Genomic DNA, 26160 nt, shown 5'->3' on the forward strand with positions numbered 1-26160 from the left:
ATTCTGGGTGCAGTGGCACATGCCTGTAATCCCAGCTACTTGGTAGGCTGAACCAGGAGGATCTCTTGAGCTCAGGAGTTTGAGATCACCCTGGCCAACACAGTGGGACCCATCTTAAAAAAAAAAAAAAAAAAAAACCTAAACAAACAAAAAAAGAAATGAGGTATAAGACTTCTAGGCCATTTCCTTAAAAGCAAGCTGCTTGCCCACTTTTTCCTTTTTTTCCATTTTTCCATTCCCATGAGCTGGGAGCTGGCACAAGGTCCTAGTGATAGTGAGCTGGCAGAAGCTAGAAAGTATAATACCCTAGTCACTACTGAAAAAGGAGAGGAAACCCAGGCCTTAGATAATCTTGTGCTGTACAGCCAGCAAACCTCCTAGAATATAATATGATTGAAATCAACTTTGTTTAGATGGGTCTTTTGGTTTCAGCAGTTCAGCCTATATGCCAACTAACAATAAGAATGTAGCATCATTTATTTTACCATTCTCCTGCTAGATGGTTTTGTACTATTTTTAATAATGATAATGCTGCCATGGACATTTATGCACCTTTGACTTCCTCTCTAGTTATTTCCTTATAACACATTTCTAGAAGTGAAGCTGCTTATTAAAGAATGTGGACATTAAGTCTTTTAAAACATATTGCCAAATATCCTATTAGAAAAATAATTTGTTTTATGTTCGACATCAGTGTAAAAGAGTGTTTTTTGGTTATTTTAAAAAACTTATAATTACCTAAAAAGTACTATTTGATAACTTGTGTAGGCACCCGATAATGGAAACTATTCAACAGTAAGTACTGGTTAATGAAAACTATTCATTTTGTTATTTGTAAAAATTCTGATGTTATGAAAACAACATGTGATTTCAAGCAAGCATGCAAGCCTGATTTAAAGTAAGCACGCCAACATACCTAAACCTTTCAGCTGGGAAACAATGGTAAAAACTGTATTATGTTTGCAATGTAATTATCTTTAAGTACATTGAAAAATGCTAACATTTTCAGCATACACTGAACTTATTTTGGATTTCTGACTTGCATTTCCTGAGCTATAATTATAATCCTATTTTCCTATTTCAGCACAGTATTTTTCTCATTTATATGTTGGTTCTCTAGCAGAATATGGTTTTCTATTTTCATAAATAACAGCAATATGGGAAAATATATAAGTGGTGATTTGACACAAAATGAGGAGCTAATCCAATAACCCATCTCTTGTAAAGTAGCTAAATATTTTAGTCAATTTCACATAGATTATGAGGACAACTTCGTCCCTTTTGTTGTCTCTCATTGGTAACTTTTATTCTGTGAGAATGATAAATATGAAGCAGATAATGTCATCATATTCCAAGATGCAAGTGTGCTTTCAAATAAAATGAAAAGCTAATGGATACATGTTATAAGCCAGTTATGGTAAACACACACACACACACACACACACACACACACACACACACACACACACATACACGGATGCATACTGAAAACCGGTCGTAATTCAACCTATATATTCTATCCATGTAAACATAAAAGTTATTGTTTTAATTAAAGAATACTTCTAATGAGATCTTCATTAGGGGCTGTGGGAGTCAGCCTCCAGAATATCCCCCAGTGATCTTACTTCCTAGTGTTCATGCCCTTGTGTAGCTCCCACAGAATAGGGTTGACTTGTGTAACCAATTTGATATTATGGAATGATGAAGTGTGACTTCAGAAGCTAAGATCAAAGATATGATGGTGTCTGTCAGTCTCTTTCTTGGATCATTCACTTTGGAGGAAGCTAGCTACCATGTTATGAGGACAGCCAAGCTGCCCAATGGAAAACTCCACATAAAGAGAGAAATTAAGGCCTGTCGGACAACAACCAGCATTAACCTGCCAGGCACACGAGGAAGCCACCTTGGAAGTGGATCCTTCAGCTCCCCTTAAGCCTTCAGAGGACTGCAATCTCATGAGAGATACCACCACAGAGCCTCAGCTCAGCTTCTCCTGGATTTGTGACCCAGAGAAACTGAGTGAGACATAAATGTTCATTGTTTGAAGTTGTTAAGTTTTAGAGTCACTTGTGGCATAGCAATAGATGAGTAATATAGGGGCTTTGGAATATTAAATGAAGATCAATTAACTTGAATAAGTAACTGAAAGCAAAAGGAGATACCTTAATGAACAGTAAACTAAAATCTAGATCCCCAAGTAACTATTAATTCATCAAAAATTTACAACATACTTATTACGCATAAGAGCGCTTCAACTGTTTCTAACTGTAAAGCAAGTGCTTCTGTCCTGAGCAGGCCCTCCAGCTCCTGTGTTTGGCCTCGTGGCAGGGCAAGCACAGCCTCCCTGGAACAGCCCGGGCTAGTGCTGAAAGACTCGTGAGACAGATCACATCCATTCCAGTCTTTCTTAACCTTCTGGGACATTTCTCATGACACTTTTGGAAACATAAAAATCTTTTACATTCCTTTAGTACTAAATGAAGCTCAAAATACTTTGTATAAACACAATTATATATTAATTATAATGATGTATAAACATATGTTAATGCACTATTATGTATTTTATATAATATAAAAATAATTTTATGAAATAATACAACAGCTTTATAATTATACATTAAAATTATAATTTGTAAATTGTCTCCAAAATAAATTAGAGTAACAAAACAAAGGTGTTGCTTGTTTTGAACAATCCTACCATCTTCTCCCCATTATCCCCACTTCAGATAATACAGCCACCTGAAGAATTACTGTTCTGGTTTTTTTTTTTTTTCCTTTTTTTTTTTTTTTAGACTCAGAGTCTCACTCTGTCTCCCAGGCTGCTAGAGTGCAGTGGTGCAATCTCAGCTCACTGCAACCTCCGCCTCCCAGGTTCAAGTGATTCTCCTACCTTCTACCTTGGACTCTCGAGTAGCTGGGACTACAGGCATGTGCCACTATGCTTAGCCTTTTTTTTTTTTTTTTTTTTTTTTCCTGTGCTTTTAGTAGCAATGGGGTTTCGCTGTGTTGGCCAGGCTGGTCTCAAACTCCTGGCCTCAAGTGATCTGCCTACCTCGACCTTCCAAAGTGCTGGAATTACAGGCATGAGCCACTAAGCTCAGTCTGTTCTGTTCTTTAATCTCAACCATTAGGATCCTCTACACGGCGCACTTTTACAGAAATCCACCCAGAATAACCTCTAAAATTATAGTAAAAATAAGCTTCATTTCCCTTAGAACTGGCAGAGTAGAGTAAATCAAATAAAGTAAACAAGAAGATAGCCCAAAAAAACAAAAGCAAAAACCAAATGCAAACCAGGGGTTAGCTAAAAACCTGGTCAAAAAGATTGGAAAAATCAAGACCACAAAACAGTATGTACAATTAATAGCAATTCAAATGGTAGAGAATGCAGGTCAGTGAAATGGAACAACTTGAATGCTTTTTAAAGTTAGGCCTATTATACAAGAACGTGTTTTGAGACAAAGCAGGATAACACATTCACATTACTAAAGCCTGGCAACTGAGGAGAGCTGGCTGGATCATGAGTTCACATGCCTTAGCAAGAAACTTGGTAGAACTTTCAGATGATTGGTGCAGAGAGAATCAAATTTACAACAGAATAATGTGTCACCTGTCAGAATCCTTAGAGTAAGAAGTGTTCCCCATGTGCAGTGGAGCAGCTGATATGTACAAATTACAAAATGAAGATTGATGTCTACCTTTTTTTGCAGTTCAATGAAAAGCAGATTTTTGCCAAGTAAACATATATGTAATGTTTATTGTGATAGCTGGACCCATCCCAATCTTCTAGGTACAATAAAAAATCAGGGCAACTCTAAAACTGCCATTGAGCTTCCCAAATGGGTAATATAACTTTAAATCCTTGGCATTTTTGCAGAAAGGTAATTGGTGCTGACGTGCTTTGAATGAAAACAGTAAACAGAAAAAATAATTTGTGACTAGAATCTCTTCTGAGAATAATATAAATAGGAATGCAACTTATTCTGAGTAAGAATTGGCAAGGTATTTCCAAGGGGGGATTGAATTCGCAACCTACTCATCTGACAAAGGGCTAATATCCAGAATCTACAATGAACTCAAACAAATTTACAAGAAAAAAACAAACAACCCCATCAAAAAGTGGGCGAAGGACATGAACAGACACTTCTCAAAAGAAGACATTTATGCAGCCAAAAAACACATGAAGAAATGCTCATCATCACTGGCCATCAGAGAAATGCAAATCAAAACCACTATGAGATATCATCTCACACCAGTTAGAATGGCAATCATTAAAAAGTCAGGAAACAACAGGTGCTGGAGAGGATGTGGAGAAATAGGAACACTTTTACACTGTTGGTGGGACTGTAAACTAGTTCAACCATTGTGGAAGTCAGTGTGGCGATTCCTCAGGGATCTAGAACTAGAAATACCATTTGACCCAGCCATCCCATTACTGGGTATATACCCAAAGGACTATAAATCATGCTGCTATAAAGACACATGCACACGTATGTTTATTGCGGCACTATTCACAATAGCAAAGACTTGGAACCAACCCAAATGTCCAACAATGATAGACTGGATTAAGAAAATGTGGCACATATACACCATGGAATACTATGCAGCCATAAAAAATGATGAGTTCATATCCTTTGTAGGGACATGGATGAAATTGGAAACCATCATTCTCAGTAAACTATCGCAAGAACAAAAAACCAAACACCGCATATTCTCACTCATAGGTGGGAATTGAACAATGAGATCACATGGACACAGGAGGGGGAATATCACACTCTGGGGACTGTGGTGGGGTCAGGGGAGGGGGGAGGGATAGCATTGGGAGATATACCTAATGCTAGATGACACATTAGTGGGTGCAGCACACCAGCATGGCACATGTATACATATGTAACTAACCTGCACAATGTGCACATGTACCCTAAAACTTAGAGTATAATTAAAAAAAAAATCATTTATTAAAACAAAGTTTTTATATTTTTATAATAGTGTTTCACTTGATAAATATTTTTGAATAAATGAATGAGGAAATTAAAAAAAAAAAAAAAAAAAAAGAAAGAACTGAAGTTGCTGTAGGTAGCAAAGGCATAAACAAAACATAAAGCAAACAGCCATAAACAAAAGAGAGTTTTCCCAGAGAAAATGACAATCTGCTTGAGAGGGCTGACCTCATGACATAGTCTAATTTCTCTTGGCACAGAATTAAGATTCAAATTTGGGAAATATTCCATTTAAGATTATTTTAAAAGTCAAGTAGCTGAATACAAAGATTATTACAGCAGGAAAATTCACCCAATGTACTAGTCATAGGAAAAAGAGGGTAGAATTAGAAGTCAGCAGACTTATTTTTCTTTTCCTAGCTCTGCCACTTAACTGGTTTTCTGAATTTTAGCAAATTATTTAAACTGTCTGGGATTCAGTTTCCTCATCTATAAAAGGAAAGGGCGGGCTTAGAATCCAAAATTCACTGGTTTGTGCAAAATCAGATCAACTGGAAGTGGAGACCCAGCATCTTATGTTGAAGAAGATTCTTGGGCTACTTGGAGACTAATTAGGAAAGCAGACATTACTCACTCACTACACAAACTAATTATTGAACCAGGCACCATTCTAGGTGCTGCAGCAGCAAACAACACAGCCATCCTCATTCCCACAGAGCTTAGAATCTAGTACCAGGGGATAGCCAATGAATAAGTAAGCAAAGAATTTCACATAGTGACAATTGTCATGATGAAAAAACTACAAAAGTGATATAATAGAGAAGCACTAAGTGGGGTTGGGCAGTTGATGGGCTGGTCAGGAAGGCCCCGCTGGTTTCATGGGTGTGTAATCTTTGCGACTGCATATGGCCTCATGCTTAGAAGTCTCTGTTTGATTTAGTGCTCTGCTTGTACTGTCTTGAAATTATTAATCATTTTTAACAAGGGGCCCTGTATTTTCATTTTGCATGCAGGTCCTCATATTATGTAGCCTGTCATTCAGGGATATGTGATCTGAATGACAATAAGAAGCCAGACGTATGTGAAGATGGTGGAAGGACATTCTATGAGTAAACAGCAAGTGCAACGTAACGTTGGTATGTCTGAGAAACAGAAAAAAGACTAAGATGGTTGATGCACAGAAGTAAGAGGAATACAGTGGCGGGAAATGATGCCGAGAAATAGGCAAGGGCCACTTCATACAAGGTCTTGTAGGAGACTGGAAGTATAAGCATAGTGTACTTGATTAAAAGGTGTACAAGCAGAGATACCCACCCACTGAAAGTGGGACACAAGAAAACTTGTATGTTTCTGTGTGAACTTAGATTGAGACCGTTATCTATTTATCTGTCTAGAACTATATGTATATATAGTTACATATTTATATTTATATATGTCTATGTATACACACATAGTTACATGTCCATATATATAGATATAAAGATACAGAGATAAAGATAGATATGAATATGTAACCATATATAGATGTAGATATGGATATGTAACTATATCTCCATCCTGAGAATTTATAACCACAGGCCAAAAATATTATATCAGATTGAGATTTCAATGAATAATCTAGGAACCTCCAAGTAGGGGAATTAACATCAAAATAAAATATGTCATAGGACAATAAAGCCCTCTGGGAAGGGCAACTCAGTGTGGGATCATCCAAGATAATGACATTGGAAAAGAGGCCTCACTAGAGGTATCTTCCATGGGCCCCTTGGGATACAATGAAGGCAGAAATTTCTAAATTTATTTGTATTAATTTTCAGAAAGGAGAAGTAAAGTACAGCCATTCTATGGGCTCCCACCTGAAGTACAGGGTATAAGGCAGCCATTGTAAATGTTCCCTTATTCTAGGGACCAGCCTATTGGTTGGTGATAGCCCTGTGGCATCTAAAAGAAGCAAATGCAAAAAAAAAAAAAAAAAACTTTCTAGAAGGACAAGCTCTCAACAGAGGCTGCACAGGATTGCCACAGATAAAACCGTGATGAAAATAGACTTATATGACAATTATACAAAATGCATGAGGAAACAATCTACCGTGATCAGTAGCCAGTAGATGACAGCAGTGGATAACAACAATAAACAGCAGAGCCACAGGCACATTAAACTTTAGACCATAAAACTATCACTTAGGAGCAAAAATAAGCATGAGTATAATTATTTAAAGAAGATATGTAAAAAATTAAAAAATAGCTACTGTAAAAACCTTCAGATTTAAAAAGATATAAAATGTAACTTCTTGAAAAAATACATATATACATACACACACATACACACACATATATATATAGAGTCAGAAAAAAGAATCCTTCAACAGATATGCTAACCAGCAAACTGGATATATGTGAAGAAAAGCAGTGAACTGGATGAATGATCTGAATAAATTCCTCAGAATATGGCACTAAGAAATGAAATGTGTGAAAGAGCTTATGAGACAGGGAAAGCAGAATGTGATGGCCAGCATGCATCTCACCGGAATTCCAAAAGGACAGAAGAGAGATAATATGGTAAGTAATATCTGAAAATATAATGGCTGAGAATTTTTCATAACTGATGGAAAACAAGAATCTTCATATTTAGGAAGGACAACGATCCCTTCCCAAGATAAATAAAATTACACCTCTATCAAGATACATCAGTATGAAGCTACAGAATTAAAAAAACAACAGGGCTCAAAGCATCCAAAGAAAAGATACAGTACAGGAAGAAGAAATGTCTGAATTCATTAAAAAAAATTTGACAAGAAATAATGAAAAAAACTGGTGTGCATGTGTGTAAATGTAAACACACGTGACTTGATGAAAAGGCAGTTGGTTAGAGTGGTGGGGAAAAAAACACTAAATATCTTATTTAGGAGACAAACCCACATATACAAATACAGACAGTTGAAATATTTGTGAAGAAAAAGAGGTGTAACAGGAAAATATCAACAAAAAGAAAAGTAGTAAAAATACAACAAATTTGAAGGCAAAAGTAGTTATCAAGGATAAATGTCATTATAATAAAATGTTCATTCCATAAGAGAAATAGTTCTAATCTTATAAACACCTGATAATATACTTCGAGCTATGTGAAGCAACACTGATTAATTTCAAAGAGAAACTGACAACTTCACAATCATAATGGTAAGAGTTTAACATTCATTACCAGAAACTGCTAGATTAATAATAATAACCTGTCAAAACCAATTTATTTACTGTACTCATGCTTATTAAATAGCTTTGGTATTCCCTGATTTCTTAGCTTGTAGCTTATTCTGTAACTTTTATATTAATATGGCATAAAGGAAAGGGGACACAGATTGGTTAATTTATTTATTCAATAAGAATTTGCTAAGTGACTTCTAGGCTCCCACACACTGTTCTAGTCTGCTGTGTAGCAACACTAAACAGAACGTCTGTCCTCTCAGAGGACAGACATTCTAGAAATGTAGAGAAATGTCTAGAATGGAGCTTACATTCTAGAAAATAAATGGATTAGCATACAGATACATTTATATTTACATGTTAAATATAGATGGAGAATTATATACCCTAAAGAGAAGCAGGGTAAGTAGGGCTAGGACATCAGGGTGGGTAGTTCTACTGTTTTGACAGGGCTCTCAGGGAAGGCACTATGCTGGGCAGAGAAAGAAAACACTCTGCAGATACCTGAAGACTTTGGCACTTGCTTGGAAAGTGCCACAGTCTGAGGGAGAAGACTGCTGGGGAGAGAAGCCTGCTGGAGAGAGAAGCCTGCTGGAGGGAGAAGCCTGCTGGAGAGAGAAGCCTGCTGGGCAGGCAAGAACAGTGAGGGTCATCAGTGACGACAATGGAGGGAGCCAGGAAGACAGCAAGGGCAGGCCAGGCCAGGCCAGAGAGTTGTGTGTTGGACGTGGCCAGAATGTGTAGGACTCTGCAGGGCGTGGTTTTTATTCTAAATGATGTGAGAAGCCACGGCAGAGTGTTGAACAGAAAGTGGTGTGATCTGGCCTCATTTGAAAAGGGTCAGTGTGGCTGCTCTGCTTTGCAGGGAGAGGCAGGGGTTGGGGCTGATGCTGGGACACCAGTTAGGAGGCATCTGTAATAATCCTGGGGTGGCTGGAGCAGGTGTAAGAGGTAGAAGTGGTGTAAGGAAGTGGGAATCTGGGTACATCGTGAAGGAGCACAGACAGGATAAATGACAAATCTTTCCAGCCTCCATTATACTCTGTCTCTTAGGTTAATGCCTCTGTTGGTTTTTTTTTTTTCCCCAGAGACTTTATTCCCATAGGCCTGAAACAGTGTATTTAAAAACTGATCTATTATATTTAAAACATGCTACAGTATTTTTTAAAAGGTTTGGAGAAGTTGTAAATACTGCTGACAGCGCTCCTTAAAAACAAAAATCCATTCCGCTTAAATAATCTGCTAATTAAAATGGCAAAGGTAAGTGAAGGGAGTTGGAGGAGGGGCACTTCCTCAGTAACTTAGGTATCAATGAAACCAGATCTGAGTGGGCAAGTCAGAGTTGAGGTTTTAAATAAATAATCTAGAAAGGGAGTTGCCCGTTTTTTTCTCTACTATGTTTGCTGAAGGGACATTTTGGAAACACAGGAAGAGATCAGAAAGCTGTGGGCAGGATTTGCTTAGTTTCACAGGTAATTGAATCTAACAGCAAGAGACAATTAATGGCTGGTCTATTCATTAAACACTTTCCTTAGCAATAGCAGATTCCCTGCAATTTAGCAAACTTCTTTCTGATATTGATTGCTACCAGAAAAAGCTTACAGTGACAGCAATTGTAGCTGCAACAGAACTGATTATTTAAAATCACAAAATCAATTTGTATACAAATATATGCAAGTTTCACAAGAGCTTCCGAGAACACGATTTCACAAACTAAAAATTAAGAAAAAAATCGATGACAAGTTTATATTTCAGAGTTGACTGTCTTTATCTTGCCTGGAACCTCTAATGCTGAAAGATCAGAACAAAAATTCTAAATGCATTTTGAAGGGAATGAAGGATATGTCAGAACCAAAACCTTTGCCCAACAAATTGTAAGATATTCTTAACAGGAATATCTAACTGACCCTAGGTGCCTAATGAATCAATCACCCTTTTTCACTCACAGAAGAAAATGGCATTCTGTCCCCTGAACAAGGCACTTTTTCTCCTAAATGCTACAGGATATATATTTTCCCTGGGATCCAATTAGAAGTCACACAGGCTTCTATCTGATTGCATTTATCATTATCTGAAAATCACAAGAAGTCCACAAAAAGTCATGTTCTCAGTTGTGATAAAATCTAATCCAAGGTGCTCCATAAAGGAAGTTCCACTGTGCTTGGAATACAACTTCTTCAAGCAAACTTCCTTAAAGAGACTCAGGAAAAGATCTTAAGATATTTTAGACAGTATACAGAAAGTTAATATCTTATTATTTGAGAATTCTTCAAAATGCTTAAATTATACTGTGGGAAACATGGGTTGCTATGTTTTGTTATGGAATAATGAAATCAAGACAGTCGAAAATAAATTTGTAGGAGTTAAAATTGGAAACAACCCATGTCTTTAAGAGGGTTAATTGTTAAGAAAACTGATATATTCATACTATACAATACTACTCAGCAATAAGAAGGTGTGATCAACTGACACATACAACATGAATCTCCAGAGAATTATGCTGAGAAAAAAGCCAGTCCCCAAAGATTACAGTCTGTACGATCCTATTTATTAAACGTTCTTGAGATGACAACGTTCCAGAAATGAAAAAAACACATTAGGTTGGTGCAAAAGTAATTATAGTTTTTGCCACTGAAAGTAATTGCAACACATTAGGTTGGTGGAAAAGTAATTACAGTTTTCGCCACTGAAAGTAATTGCAAAAACCTCGATAACTTTTGCGCCAACCTAGTGGTCATGAGGAGTTAAGGACAGGGCCACGTAGGATGTGGGGAGTGGAGTGTGCTTACAGAAGACCACCACTAGGGATCCCTGTGGTAACAGAACTATATCTTGACTGTACTGGTGGACACACAAGCCTACATATGATAACACTGTATAAAATACACACACATGCATAAGTAAAACGGAAAGTCTGAACACAATCAGTGGATTGAAACAATATCAATCTCCTGGGTGAAACTATACCATAATTATGCAAGTTGTTATTCAGGGGAACTGGGTAAAGAGTACATGGGATCTCTACATTATTTCTTAAAACTGCATGTAAATATATAGTTATTTCAAAATAAAAACACTAATTGAAAAACAAGTAAAGGGTGGCTATAAGACTTGATAAATATCAGCTAGGCTACTCATTTGCTTTCAAAGGTACTGTTAAACCTGCAGGTAAGCTACAAGCAAATAAATCTGGTGATTAAAATGGATACATGATTTAGTTTTTCTATTTCTTTTTGTGTTTTGGAAATTTGTGTTATCAGGAATTTTGTCCATTTCTTCTAAGTGCACCCTTTCAATTATAATAATTATAATAATGGAGAGTTGGGTCTTCTCCCCCTAGGTGAGTCTAGCTATAAAAGTTGCCTAAGCCAACTTTTAATAATCGTACCAGGAGAATCTTGTCTGTGATGAAAAGTGTCATCAAATGCTGTTTGCTTAAAGTAGAATTAGTCTGCCCTTTGAAAATAGCTAGGAAGATATAATTTTGTATGCTATAATTCTTGGAAGTCAAGAAATCCAGTACTTTAATCATCTATTCATGTATAATATACAAAATATAAAGTGTACCAATTTTACGTGTAAGTCAATGAGTTTTGACAATGTATAAATCCATGTAACCACTACCACAGACAAGAGAGTAAACATTTCCATAACACCAAAAATTTCCTTCATGCCCAACTCCAGTCAATAACTGAGCTATTTCTGGTCAATAGAGATTGGGTTTGCTCTTCTAGAATTTTATATAAATACTTGTACAGTATATATTGTTTTGTATCTGGCTTTTTTGCCCAACACAATGTTTCTGAAATTGTACCAGGTTACTGGACATATCAGTAATTCCTTCCATCTATCTGGGTAGTATTTAATTATATGGGTGTATCATAATTTGTTTATCCACTCACCTGTTGAAGTAACATCTACGTAATTTCCAATTTTGTCCATTATGAATAAGGCTGCTATAAACGACTGTGTAGAAACATTTGTTGGACACATTTTATTTCATTTGACTAAATGTGTCATAATTGAATTACTGGGTTGTATGGAAAAGATGTGATTAACTTCAGAAGAAACCTCCAAACTGATTTCTGAAGTGTTTGTACCAATTTACATTCCCATTAACATGATGCTTCACAACCTCACCAACACTTGATATTTTGACTTTTTCATTTTAGCTATTCTAGTTGGTGTGCTGTAGCATGTCACTATAATTTTTTTGCATTTCTTTAATGATTAATAATGTTGAACATTATATCTATGTGCTTATTTGCCATCTTTTTATAGTCTTTTGTGACTTGTCTGTTCAAATCTTTTGGCGTCTTTTGAAAGGTTGCTTTATTTATTTTAAGTTGTAAGAATTCTTTATTCATAATTCCTTTGTTAGATATACTTATTGTAAATAATACTTCCGGTCTGTGGCTTGGGCTTTGTATTCTCTTAACAATGTCTTTCAAAGAGTAGACAATTTTAATTTTAATGAACTCCAATATATCAATTTTTTCTTTTGTTGTGTGTGCTTTTTGTGTCCTATCTACTTGCTTACCCTGATGTCGCAAAGATTTCCTCCTATGTTTCCTTATAAATGTTTTATGATTTTAGCTTTTACTATTAGGTCTATGATGTATATTGAGCTTTTTTGTGTTTAGGGTGTAAGAGTTGAGGTCCATTCCCTCCACCTTCACCCGCAATGTAGATAGCCAACTGTATTAGGACCATTTGTTGAAAAGACTATTCTTTCCCCATTGGATTAATTTGGTTTTTTTATTGAAAATCAATTGGCCATGCATATATGGATCTATTTCTGGACTTTATTCTGTTCCCTTGATGTTTATGTCTATTTTACCAACATCACATTGTCTGGATTACTGTAACTTTATAGTAAGTCTTGAAATCAGATAGGGCATGTCTTTCTTTTTCAGGAATGTTTTGGCCATTCCAGTTCTTTTGCATTTCTATATAAATTTCAGAACGAGCTTGTCATTTTTTATAGAACTGTTTATAGGGATTATGATTAGAATTACTTGAGTTGATCTAGAGATCAACTTAAAAGGAACTGACATCTTTTTTAAAAATTATTATTATACTTTAAGTTTTAGGGTACATGTGCACAACGTGCAGGTTTGTTACATATGTACACATGTGCCCTGTTGGTGTGCTGCACCCATTAACTCGTCATTTAGCATCAGGTATATCTCCTAATGCTATCCTTTCCCCATCCCCCCACCCCACAACAGTCTCTGGTGTGTGATGTTCCCCTTCCTGTGTCCATGTGTTCTCATTGTTCAGTTCCCACCTATGAGTGAGAACATGCGGTGTTTGGTTTTTTTGTCCTTGCGATAGTTTGCTGAGAATGATGGTTTCCAGCTTCATCCATGTCCCTACAAAGGACATGAACTCATCCTTTTTTATGGCTGCATAGTATTCCATGGTGTATATATGCCACATTTTCTTAATCCAGTCTATTATTGTTGGACATTTGGGTTGGTTTCAAGTCTTTGCTATTGTGAATAGTGCCGCAATAAACATATGTGTGAATGTGTCTTATAGCAGCATGATTTATAATCCTTTGGGTATATACCCAGTAATGGGATGGCTGGGGCAAATGGTATTTCTAGTTCTAGATCCCTGAGGAATCGCCACACTGACTTCCACAATGGTTGGACTAGTTTACAGTCCCACCAACAATGTAAAAGTGAAGAACCGACATCTTAACCATATTAAGTCTTCTTATCCACGAGTGTGATCTACTTAGTTAGATCTTCTTTAATTTCACTCGGTAATATTTTATAGTGTTCAGTGTAGTGATCCTGTTATTTCTTGCTAAATTTATCTTTAAGAATTTCATCTTTTGATGATATAATTAGCCTTTAAAATATTTCATTTGCCAATTGTTAGTAATAGAAATAAAATATATTTTTCTACAATGACCTTTTTTGAGACTTTGTTACATTCATTTATTTATTCTCATAGCATTTTATAAAAATAATGCCATCTGAAAATAGAGTATATATTCCTTTCCAAACTGTATGCCTTTTCTTGCCTTATTACACTGGCTAGGATCTCCAGGAAAATGTCATGTAGTAGTGTTAAGAGTAGACATTCTCACCTAGTTTTCAATTTTAGAGGGAAAATAATATTTTGCTATTAAGTATAATGTAAGCTGTAGGTTTTTAAGAGATGTTATGTATCAGGTCGAGGAAGTTTCCTTCCATTACCAGCCTTCTGAGAGTTTTTATCATGAATGGATTAGGAATTTAATCAATTTATTTTCTGTATGTATTAAGATGATCATATGATTTTTCTCTTTTCTTCTCTTAATATAATGAATTACATCCATTGAATACAGATGTTAAATCAACCATGAATTCCTTTATATTGCTGGATTCAATTTGAGAATTTTTCTGTCTGTATACAAGGGAGATACTGCGATGTTCATCTATAGTTTTTCTTTCTTGCAGTTTCTGGATAGATTTGGTAATGAAGATAAAACCAACCTTATAAAATGAGTTGGGAAATTTCCCCCACTCTGCCCTTTTCTGAAAGAGTTTATATAGGATTGGCATTATTTCTTCTTTAAATATCTGGTTTAATTCACCAATGCAGTTTTCTTTGTGGGGAGATTTTTAATACAAATTTGATTTTTTAAATAGATGATTTAGTTTTCCTATTTCTTTTGGAAATATGTGTCACCAGGAATTTTCTCCATTTATTAGAAGTGCTCTCTTTTAATTATAATAATAGAAAGTTGGGTCTCCTTTTCTCCCTAAACGAGTCCAGCTATGACTTAATCTGCTTTTTATTGATCTCTTCAAGAAATTACCTTTTGATTTCATTTACTTCATCTATTGCTTTTACATTTTCTATTTTATTGTTTCCTACTACCATTATATCTTTCCTTCTAATTACTTTGGGTTTTACTTGCTCTTCATTTTTTAGCTTCATAATTGTAAGCTTAGGTAATTGATTTTAAACCTTTCAAAATTTTCTAATATACTTATTTTAAAGTATAAGTTTGCTGTTAAGTATTGCTTTAGCTGTCCCCTGACGTTCTTGATATGTTATAATTTCATTTTCATTGACTTCAAAACATTTTCTAATTACCTTGTGATGTCCTTTTTTACAGCATGGGTTATTTAGAAATGTATTGTTTAATATTCAAATATTTAGTAATTTTTGTGAAAATTTTTTTTACTGATTTCTAAGAAGCTCTATTATTAGAGGAATATACATTTAAGAATTGTATGTCTTGATGAATTGGCCACTTTATTATAAGCCATCCTTCTTAATCTCTGATAATATTCCTTAATCTGGAGTCTTTGTCAAATATTAACAAAAGCACTCTAGCTTTATATGATTAGTGTTAGTACAGTATGTCTGTTTCCATCCCCATTTTTCTAGACAGCAGACAGTTGCATTTGTTTTCATGTCTAATTGGACAACTCTGTCTTTTACTGGAGTTTCTGTCTTTTATTGGAGTTTCTAAACAATTTATTTTAACATAGTTTACCAATAGAGTTGGTTTAAATCTCTAATTTGTTTCTTTTATGGTTATCTCATAAAAGAAACAACTTTGTTACTTGTCTTAGTCTGTTTAAGCTGCTATAACAGAATACCACAGACTGGATGGCTCTTACACAAAGAAATTTATTTCTCAGGGTTTTGGAGGCTGGGAAGTCCAAGATCTAGGCACAAGAAGATTTGGTGTCTGGTGAGGGTCTGCTCCCTGGTTCATAGCCATCTTTCATCTGTGCCCTCACATGGTAGAATGGAAGAGGGAATCTATCTGGGGCCCCTTTATAAAGGCACTTATCCCATTTATGATGACTCCACCCTCATGACCTAATCACCTCCCAAAGGCCCCACCTCTAAATATCCTCACATTGGGACTAATTTCTTTTTTCTTTTCTTTTCTTTTCTTTTCTTTTCTTTTCTTTTCTTTTCTTTCTTTCTCTCTCTCTTTCTTCCTTCCTTCCTTCCTTCCTGCCTTCCTTCCTTTTCTTTCTTCTCTTTCTTTCTTTCTCCTTTCTTTCTCCCCTTCTCTCTTTTTGTGAGATAGATGCTTGCTCTGTTGCTCAGGCTGGAGTGCAGTGGTGCAATCTCAGCTCACTGCAACCTCCGCCTCTGAGATTCAAGCGATTCTCCTGCCTCAGCCTCCTGAGTAGCTAGGACTACAGGCGCCCACGGCTACGCCCGGCTGATTTGTATATTTTTAGTAGAGATGAGGTTTCACCATGTTGGCCATGCTGGTCTCGAATCCTGGCCTCAAGTGATCCACCTGCCTCAGCCTCCCAAACTGCTGGGATTACGGGCGTGAGTCATTGCACCTGGCGGTTTCTAATTTCAACATATGACTTTAGGGGGTGGGGGGACAAACATTTAGTTTGTAGTATTACCTTTTTTTTTTTTTTTTTGAGATAGAGTCTCACTCTGTCACCCAGGCTGGAGTGTAATGGTGTGATCTCCCTGCAACCTCTGCCTCCTGGGTTCAAGTGATTCTCCTGCCTCAGCCTCCCAAGTAGCAGGGATTACAGGCGCCTGACATCATGCCCAGCTAATTTTTTTTTTTTTTTTTTTTTTTTTTTTAGTAGAGATGGGGTTTCACCATGTTGGCCACGCTGGTCTCAAACTCCTGGCCTCAAGTGATCCACCTACCTCGGCCTCCCAATGTGCTGGGATTACAGGCGTGACCCACTGTGCCCAGCCTATAGTATTACTTTTGCCCTCCCTTTAAAACTTCTTTTATTGGATTAATTAGATATTTTTTGCATTCCATTTTATCTATTCTGTTTGTTTCTTAGCTATCTTAAAAATACTTTTGTCTTTGATCTAGGTCAGCATTTATTTTGACATACATCAAAATTTTATTTTATTACAAATATTTTCAAATATATTCAAAAGTAGAGAGTATAGTATAATTAACCGGATGTACCCATAACAAACTTTCAACAACTGTAAACACATGGCCAATGACATTTCATCTAAATTGTCACTTAATCCACCTCTCCTGGGTTACTCTGAAGCAAATTTCAGATACCATATTTCATCTGTTACTATTTCAGTATGTATCTCTGCAAGGACTTAAAAAATATATAACAATATGATTACTGCACCTGAAAAATTAACAATAATTTCTTAAGAACATCAAACAGCCAATCACTGTTCACACTTTCCTGGTTGTCTTTAAGTGACTTTTTTCAGTTCATTTGAATCAAGATTCAAATAAGGCCCATTCCTTGCCAACTGTCTGTTTTTATTGGAGTAGTGGGGGATGAAGAAGCTTCAGGGAGACTTGAAACACGGCTGCAGCCACTACCATCTACAATCTCAATGTGAGTTCCATTTGATTTAAAATTTAAAATAGCAATTAAAAAGATGTAATTGGGAATATTAACTGAACAGAACCCCTACACAGGCATTTTAAAATTGGAGTTTCCATTTTACGCTGAAGAATGTCATTCCTGGAAACTGTCTGAAGCCTACACAGTCACATCTTGGATAACTCCACATTTCGAAAGTTTCAATCTTGGACAATTTCCAGTATGAGTGATTTCGTATATTACTTCATCTATATTGTATTGCCAAATTCTGTAAAACTATAATCATATCTTTCAAGACGAGGAAAACTGCTCTGAATATTCTCTTCACTTTTGCCCATACTCTTTTCTTTCTTTGTGATAATTAAGAATTAAATTAATTTAAAATGTGAGGTCTGGGGATAATACTTCAAAACGTTAATCAACCATTCTGATGTAGATTGTACTGCTGGAGTTTTAATGTCATTGCTTTACCTCCCCAGGAAATGAGCTACAGATGTAGACAGCAAGTGTAATAGCTTAGGAGGAATAAGCTTATGAAAGACACTTAATGAATTATGTACTTATAATTTCCTCTTTGTACTGTTTTTAAAAACTAGCCTAAACTTTTTCCAAATAGAGAGTAAAGAGAAAACATCTATTCCTTTAAGAACAACACAAGAAGGCTTTAGCTGATCTTTATTGTATCAAGTAACACACTGGCTCACTAAAATCAAAATTCTGATAATGCTAAACACTGTTATAATTGTATACAATTTAACAAAAATTAATAGATAAAAGTTCTTACAAACTGAAGAATGCTTTGGTAGAAAAAAAGGAACTCCTCTTTTATGGTAAAATACATACTTAAGAATGGAAAAGCACATTTTAAAGAGAGGAAAAACATAAATTGCTGTCAGTTACTAAATTTGGTTATCTCATACAATTACGTCTGCTATCCCTGCATATACAAACCCTGCCTATCCTTCAAGGCCTAGCTCAACACTAGTAAGAAAGAAATTTTAAATTTCACATTTGCCAATTATGCATATGTCACAATATGCATTATCACAATTATGCATATGTCACAATATGCATTATCACAATTATGCATATTTCACAATATGCATTATCAATCGCTTTATCCTCTTAGATAAGGCAGAAAGATATGATAGATTGTGGAGCTGAGATTTTTAAGTTGGTCTTTAAAAAATTAAATCAAGTTTATGAATTCTTCTTACACTTTTTTTTTTTCATTTGACTTTCTCAGTGATCTTAGATGGTAAGCAAGATCTAGTGTTATTACTTTCTTCTGTTTTAAAGATCAGCAAACTAAGGATTAGAGAAGTAAAATAAATGACCCAAGGCCATCTTCTGGTCAGTTACTGAGTCCAGACACAAATCAAAGTCGTTGGATTCCAGCAAGTATTCTCTACATTATACCAGAGCTAAGCTTCCCATTGATTTTAGACTTTCTGAAAGAAACTTCCTGAATCCCATATGCCCAAATATGAATCAAAAATAGAAAAAGAGAAAACAGAATAAAGCAGAGAATACTGTGAGCTGTACTGGATATGGTGATGGTCTGGCCTTTATTGTTAACTATTGTCATTTCTACTACAAGTTTTTCAAACAGACTGGCCTTCTCCACATGATATAAAATCATTTGGAAGAATAAATCGAACAGGTTCTTTGTCAAAACAGCTATAGGACTCGTAGGCTGGAGCATTCTTTCTTTTCACCTATTACTATCCTTTCACTAACATTCACATGCACTGAGAGATTTCTATGTGTCCAGGCATAACGTCTGGCAGAGAGAACAACATTATCCCAACTTTGCCCTTGAGAAGTTTCTAGTTTGGGGGACGGTAAGAGGCGAACGGGGATAAAAATAACCATAATGCAATAATTATTGGTTATAGAAAAAGCACTGGAAAGCAGTTCTACTAAAGGGCATGTAGGGAAAAATAGAGCATTTGAAGCAATAGCTGAAAAGTATCTTGATATATGCTAGCTACAATGACACAATTCTGACATTCCCAGTCTGGAAAAAACAAATAAATGTTGTTTTAGTTGTTAAGTTATAGCACAGTACAACATTCTATAAAAGAGATCCAATTGTCAAATAAATATAGCCAAATAAAACTGGAAAAGTAGTGTGTTAATGTTTCAGAGCCAGTGACATTATGAAGTCATAGATTTCTGAAATATTTTCTGTTCTGAGTATACATTTTGTTCAAGAAATTCAATTAGATGTTCAAGTCTTATTCAATTAGCTATTCTCTAGACTTACAGTGTCCACCAAATCCTAACGGTAACATTTAAATCGATGAGGCACATAATATGTTCTGGGCTGATAGTGAGCTGAGGTCTGAAACAGTTTCAACTAGAATTTGCCTATTCCTTTTTAAGTTTTGTGAACTTGGGGTTTGTTTCTGGGTTGGATCTACGCTAGTTATGATTCTCAAATTAGCACAGGTACTGATGTGCTACAGAATAAAACAGCACATTTCTTCTACAAACAAAAATTTCCTTTTCTCACTGATGGGGTGAAGGATGAGATGAGATGAAAGGCCGTAGGTTGGGTTGCCTAGAAAAATCAAGGATAAGTAGCCTGTTCTCACTCATAGGTGGGAATTGAACAATGAGAACACTTGGACACAGGAAGGGGAACATCACACCCCGGGGCCTGTTGTGGGGTGGGGGGAGGGGGGAGGGATAGCATTAGGAGATATACCTAATGTAAATGACGAGTTAATGGGTGCAGCACACCAACATGGCACATGTATACATATGTAACAAACCTGCACGTTGTGCACATGTACCCTAGAACTTACTTAAAGTATAATAAAAAAAAAGAAAGAAAAATCAAGGGTAAGTAATACAAGAATTATATTAGTAAGCTGGACATGGCTGTATTTTAGGGTATAAAGGAAAATTCACTTAATTTTTAAAAATAAAACACTAGGATGAAAAACAAACAAATAAGCCTGTCCTTTCATGGGTCTCCTTTGGTTATGCTGCAAGAACCTCTCACCATTTGCCTTCATCCTTAGTTCTTGGTGATAAGCTGGTGAAAAGCAATGCTTTACTGAATTCAGAAGAATTCTAAACATTTGAAAGATTTTAAGAATTTGAAAGACTAATAAAAATGCCTAGAAAAGCAGATATTTTTAGCTTTTTTACATCCTATACACTGGGTATGCTTTATCATTTCCTTTTATCTTGGGCAAATGTGTTATCCCATTGTGGGTTGGGTCATTCCCACTTTCAGGATACCAAGAACCACAAATGCCTTGAGGGAAAAAAAAAATAGGTAGGTGGTGAGTGACTGTATCCTTCTCTTTTCATAACAGCAAAAACACAGAGAACATCTCATTCAACTTTTTAAGTTGGAAGATAAGAGTGAATAGTATTGGGAAAAAGTGTACTAATTTCTTTGAACATCTCTCACAGGAGTACTCAACAAATTCATTAGAAAGTCTCTTTTGAAAGACTCAAAGTAGCTCATAACCAATTCCGGGTTGCTCATTTTAGGGTGGTCCATGTGGTGTGCTAGGGTGGGATGCAGGAGGTCATTAGACAAGGTTACACTGCTGTTACAAGTCACAGGCAAATCCACAGAATGATCAGTTCCATTACTGTTTCCATTTAGGATGGGGTGTGCTGGCTTCTAGTTGTGGGTCATCTGCTCCACAGATTTAGGCTCTTAGTAACTTACATTGTATCAACTCCTTATTTAGTGCAGAGAGATTTTCTTGCCTGAAATGAAACTTTTGCATCATAAAACACCAAACTTTTATAGAGGCCAGCTGAGAAAGGCAACTGATGGCAGCTAAGGGGGTTAGTGAAACAAAGATACAGAATGCTTCATCTATATTCACGAAAAAGTTAGCTGTACACAGTAGATCATAAAATGTAACTACTATTTCAGTTAGTAGTCATCTTAGTTTTTACATACTTTATATATATTTTAAAATATCTATAGCCAACGTATGCAGATGCCAAACACTAAATCTATGAGAAAAACTCAAAGCTATAAACCTTATCAGGACTTTGTCAGTATACCCGGGGCAATTCTGCTTACTTCAAAGACGGTTCCTTGACCAGCAAAGAGAGATCCACAAATGAGAATACTCACTACAGAGGAGGCTATGTGTTCTTGTTTCCTGAACTAGCTTCCAGGATACACATTCCTTGAACTTGTCTAGGTCTGCCCTGTTTTTCTTCATTCTATTTTGTCAGTTTCTCCTCTGCTTTGTCCTTTCAAGTAGTATCTCTTTATGGTAACACTTTCCAGCTCTTTAACTTCTACAGATGTTTCCTAATTTACCTCCTGCATTCTTACACTGCCAGAGAGCCCCCTTGGGCCACTCCTCTGACTCAAGTGACATCCCCAGGTGTGTGATCCCTTCTCACAGTTAAGCCTAACTGAAAAAGCTATTAAATACCCACAGAGTTCCTAAAATCATCTGATTCCCCCAGTCATGTACATCTAAAACTGAGGAGTTGATTTTTGAAACTTTTCTGTGAAGTCACAGGAAAAAAAAAATGAGTTGGGGGGAGGGGGAGAAGACATTAAATACTGATCGGTACCTTCTTAATTTCTATTTAAAGAAGCAAAGTAATAATAATTGAGAATTACTTGCAAAAATGTCCACTGCTACCAAGATATCAGATAGGATCTCTTATCAATCAGTGAAGAGCTTACAATAGTATCTGAGCTAGCAGGGAAGATGATGCTCTGAGTAATTACCTTCTTTGTTTAACTCTAACTTTATAAGTAGCTAATTACGTAAGTTTATAAGTTCTAATTACATAAGTAGCTTATGTGACATAGCCCAAGGTCAGCATGTATCTCTGCTTTGTAATCACCTTTGAAATTCTGTTTCAAGTGTGTCTAACTGTCCTAGCTGATGTCCCCCAAGTTTTTATAAATACCAAGGTTTGGTATACTATCTTAGGTTATACAGAAAGTTCTTAAAGTTTGTTGAACAATTAAGTAGGCAGAATAAATGTAGATGTTTCATATACCAATAACAACTACAGTTTGAAGGCACAGATGTAGAAAAGTTTCTACATATAAAATATTGTTATAAGTATAAAAATTGAAATATAAAATATTGACTTAACTCTGATCTGGCCCTTTCCTTCCCTGATTGTCCCAAGCAGAATTCCGATTGCCTGTTTCCTAAGCCAATTAATTAAAAAACAACATAGGTCTGCATAATCAAGTATTTCCCAAAAACTCAATGTTAAACGAACGAAGATGTTTTTCCACTGTCAATCATAGTTTTCAGACAACCGCTTGCACCCCACAGAAGGGAAAACAGTATAGTTATATAAGCAAACAGGTTCCTATCTCTGAGGCTTCAGAAGTTATGATGGTTGAAATTGTTTAGTAAATGGATATCCATGTATCACACTTGCAGTCTCATTTTTAAGCCTTAAATGAAATTTTCATCAAGAACAATAAGGAATATATGACATATGTTTATGAGCCTAAAAATGTCACAAAATAAATTCATGGTTTACAAATATTTTTATCGTTTGGAGAATTTTTTTTCTCATTTATGTCATAGAAAGTTAAACTAAGTCACAGTTATAGGACCTTTGACATTATTTTAAAATATATTAAGGTGGCAATACATAATCTTTAAATATTTACAGATTTACAGTCCATATCTTGTATCTGAAGTGCTCTGTCCCATAGTTTACTACAAACTTTTATTTATCAAGCCTTCCATTATTTGATGTTCCTAAAAGCCCGGGCTGATTTCTAAAACTCACTCCAAATTTACACATTCTACAATAAATTTTTCATTTACCTTTTCTCTCAAATGTCCTTGACACTAAGCAGTATACACTGCAAATACTTTTTTTTCTCTATTTGTAAAAGGAACATTCATTTCTTTAAAATAATTTTGAAGTATGCGTGTGTAAATGTTACAATCTACCTCTTAGATTATAAATCTTAGGGAGTAATGTCTGAGTCTTTTTAATATGCTTTCAATTAAATGTACTGGCTTTCTGAATACATTTAAAAGGATAAATGCTCCTTTCAATGCAGAGAAAAATAACAGACATTGCTCTAGCACAAAGTCAAAGCCAAAGGAACTATAAAGCACACTTGGGTGTTCACTGCCCAATAATACATTTTTAATAGCATGTAGCACAATGTCAAATTTCAATCCTATAAAATGACCACAGAAAAAACTCTTTATCTTTGCAGGTATAAATGCCATACCAATGTGAACAGAGTTTAAATTCTGTTATATAATCCAACCTACCAATAATTAAATATAATATTAATATTTATGGGTTTGTCCATGCAGAACAGCTCTAAATCCAATCTTTCCCCTATAACTCATTTACCAAATAAATGACAACAAAAAGAAAAAAAATGTAATTTTTGGAGGGTTCCAGGAAACATGTGCCTCTGAAATGAAAATAAAGTTGGTTAATCCTTGGAACTATTTAAGAATAAACTTCCTAGATAAAATAAGACAGCATTCATCCTAACAGAGGGCAAGTGAAGACAGAGTGAAGGGCACTATAATGAATTTTTCTTAGAAATTATGAGCACAGAGTTTTGTGTTATCACAGTTTTCAGGTTGCCATTTTGGCACTGTTTTCAAACTGTAGGAATTGTGATTGGCATTGGTTCATGAATGTCTATGCATATTCCAATGCTAAAACATGGATTGCTATTGTACAAACTACACAAGTTGTAAACCCAGATCGCATGTAGTGGAAAACTATTTTGTTTATGTTATAAAACTAGCACTGAAACCAAGAGAGTAGGAAGGACCTGGATACCAAATGATGTGTACAGAGGCAGCGGTTCTTTGATTTGAATGGTCAAATTTTATTTCATTTATGCTGTCCAGCAAAAAACCTCCTGAGATTATTTGGATATCTAATGCTGCTCTTCTTTCTGTGACCTAGCAGCATGTATAATCTTCGGCTTAAATTTTTAAATTTATATATATATATATATATATATATATATATATATATATATATATATATATATATATATAAAGCAACATGTAAAAATGCAAGCACCATTCTTCTATATCCCTTATATTACCATATTTCCAAATGCCTTGCCCTTTGTTTGTTCTTCATAAAATTCTTTACAATTCCTTCTTCCTTCTTATATCAGAATTTTATCTCCTGAACCTAAAGCCACTCACATTAGCCCCTACTTAAAAACCTTAACAGCTCTCTACTTCCTACTGCAGTGTTCCCCAAACTTCTACTTCCTACTGCACTGCTCCCCAAACTCATGACATTTGGCAATTCCTTTCATAATTTTTTACCCTTTCTTTCACTGCCCTGTACTATTATTTGTTCAATGGTTTTCTTTAGAGTTCCTTTTATAACTCAAAAAAAATTTTTCGCAGTGGCTCACGCCTGTAATCCCAGCACTTTCGGAGACCAAGGCGGGCGGATCATGAGGTCAGGAGATCGAGACCATCCTGGCTAACACGGTGAAACCCCATCTCTACTAAATACAAAAATTAGCCGGGCGTGTTGGCGGGCGCCTGTAGTCCCAGCTACTCGGGAGGCTGAGGCAGGAGAATGGCGTGAACCCGGGAGGCGGAGCTTGCAGTGAGCCGAGATTGTGCCACTACACTCCAGCCTGGGTAACAGAGCAAGACTCCGTCTCAAAAAAAAAAAATTTTTTTTTGTGCCCTTCCACAGGAGAATCCAGGGTATCTTGCTATATCAGTCAGAAGAGAATAGATTATGTCAGAGTAACAAAAGAGAGCGAATTGCAGTGGGATTTACAAAACCCAAGCTTAATGCGTTGCTCACACCACAGGTCTACCTCAGGTCAGTTATGCTTCTGTTCCACATTTTCTTCACCCTGTGACCAAATCTAATGGAACACCTTCTATTTTAGGACATGGTGAACTATACCGAAGAGGGAAAAGAGGACGTGGCAAATCCTTGTTTAAAACTCCATGCCTTAAAGCTTTGGCTCAGAAATGACAGGGATTGGTTCCACTCTAATTTCCTTGGCCAGAACAGCTCATGTGGATAAGACTGAATGGGCCAGGGAAATACAATCCTTCCCTTGGGAGTGGTAGCAGATACTTTGAACAATAATACAATCGATCACACGTGCCAAGAATAGAAGATAGTTGAATAAAAATGGAATGAAAAGAATATTATTAATTTTTTTATTATTATACTTTAAGTTTTAGGGTACATGTGCACAATGTGCAGGTTAGTTACATATGTATACATGTGACATGCTGGTGCGCTGCACACACTAACTCGTCATCTAGCATTAGGTATATCTCCCAATGCTATCCCTCCCCCCTCCCCCCACCCCACAACAGTCCCCAGAGTGTGATGTTCCCCTTCCTATGTCCATGTGTTCTCATTGTTCAATTCCCACCTATGAGTGAGAATATGCGGTGTTTGGTTTTTTCTTCTTGCGATAGTTTACTGAGAATGATGATTTCCAAGATAACGTTTCCTGCCCAAGTGTTAAAATCATGCTAGCCAACTGATTTTCTTCTTCACAGATTGAAAATATTTAACTCACTATGTGACACAATATCCTATCCATGTCCAGGTATCACATAAAGCCATTCACCTAAAATCACTGGCAATATGATTCCCACGCCTATGAAAATGTATCTATAAAAAACAAATTAAAATATCTAAATAAGGCTCTTTAACCATCTGATCTAAACTCATATTTACTGTATTGG

The 26160-nt window shown here is 35.9% G+C and overlaps 2 protein-coding genes and 1 non-coding gene across 8 annotated transcripts in view; 1 reads left to right on the plus strand and 2 right to left on the minus strand.

Annotated features, from left to right (window-relative positions):
- Window positions 1-26160, plus strand: part of REDIC1 (regulator of DNA class I crossover intermediates 1) — a 282118-nt gene that overhangs the window by 170124 nt on the left and 85834 nt on the right. The window contains exon 18 of the transcript NR_135051.2: window positions 5954-6076. The gene's annotated coding sequence lies outside the window, so the exon portion shown is untranslated. The remainder of the gene's footprint in view (window positions 1-5953; window positions 6077-26160) is intronic.
- The window catches only part of SLC2A13 (solute carrier family 2 member 13), a 351057-nt gene that overhangs the window by 41282 nt on the left and 283615 nt on the right, over window positions 1-26160 (minus strand). The gene's annotated exons all lie outside the window — the stretch shown is intronic.
- Window positions 23444-23577, minus strand: LOC124900327 (small nucleolar RNA SNORA22). Its single transcript, XR_007063630.1, has one exon. It is a non-coding gene; the product is annotated as a small nucleolar RNA SNORA22 (small nucleolar RNA).

Source organism: Homo sapiens, chromosome 12, assembly GCF_000001405.40.
Source record: "Homo sapiens chromosome 12, GRCh38.p14 Primary Assembly".
NCBI classification, from domain to species: Eukaryota; Metazoa; Chordata; class Mammalia; order Primates; family Hominidae; genus Homo; species Homo sapiens.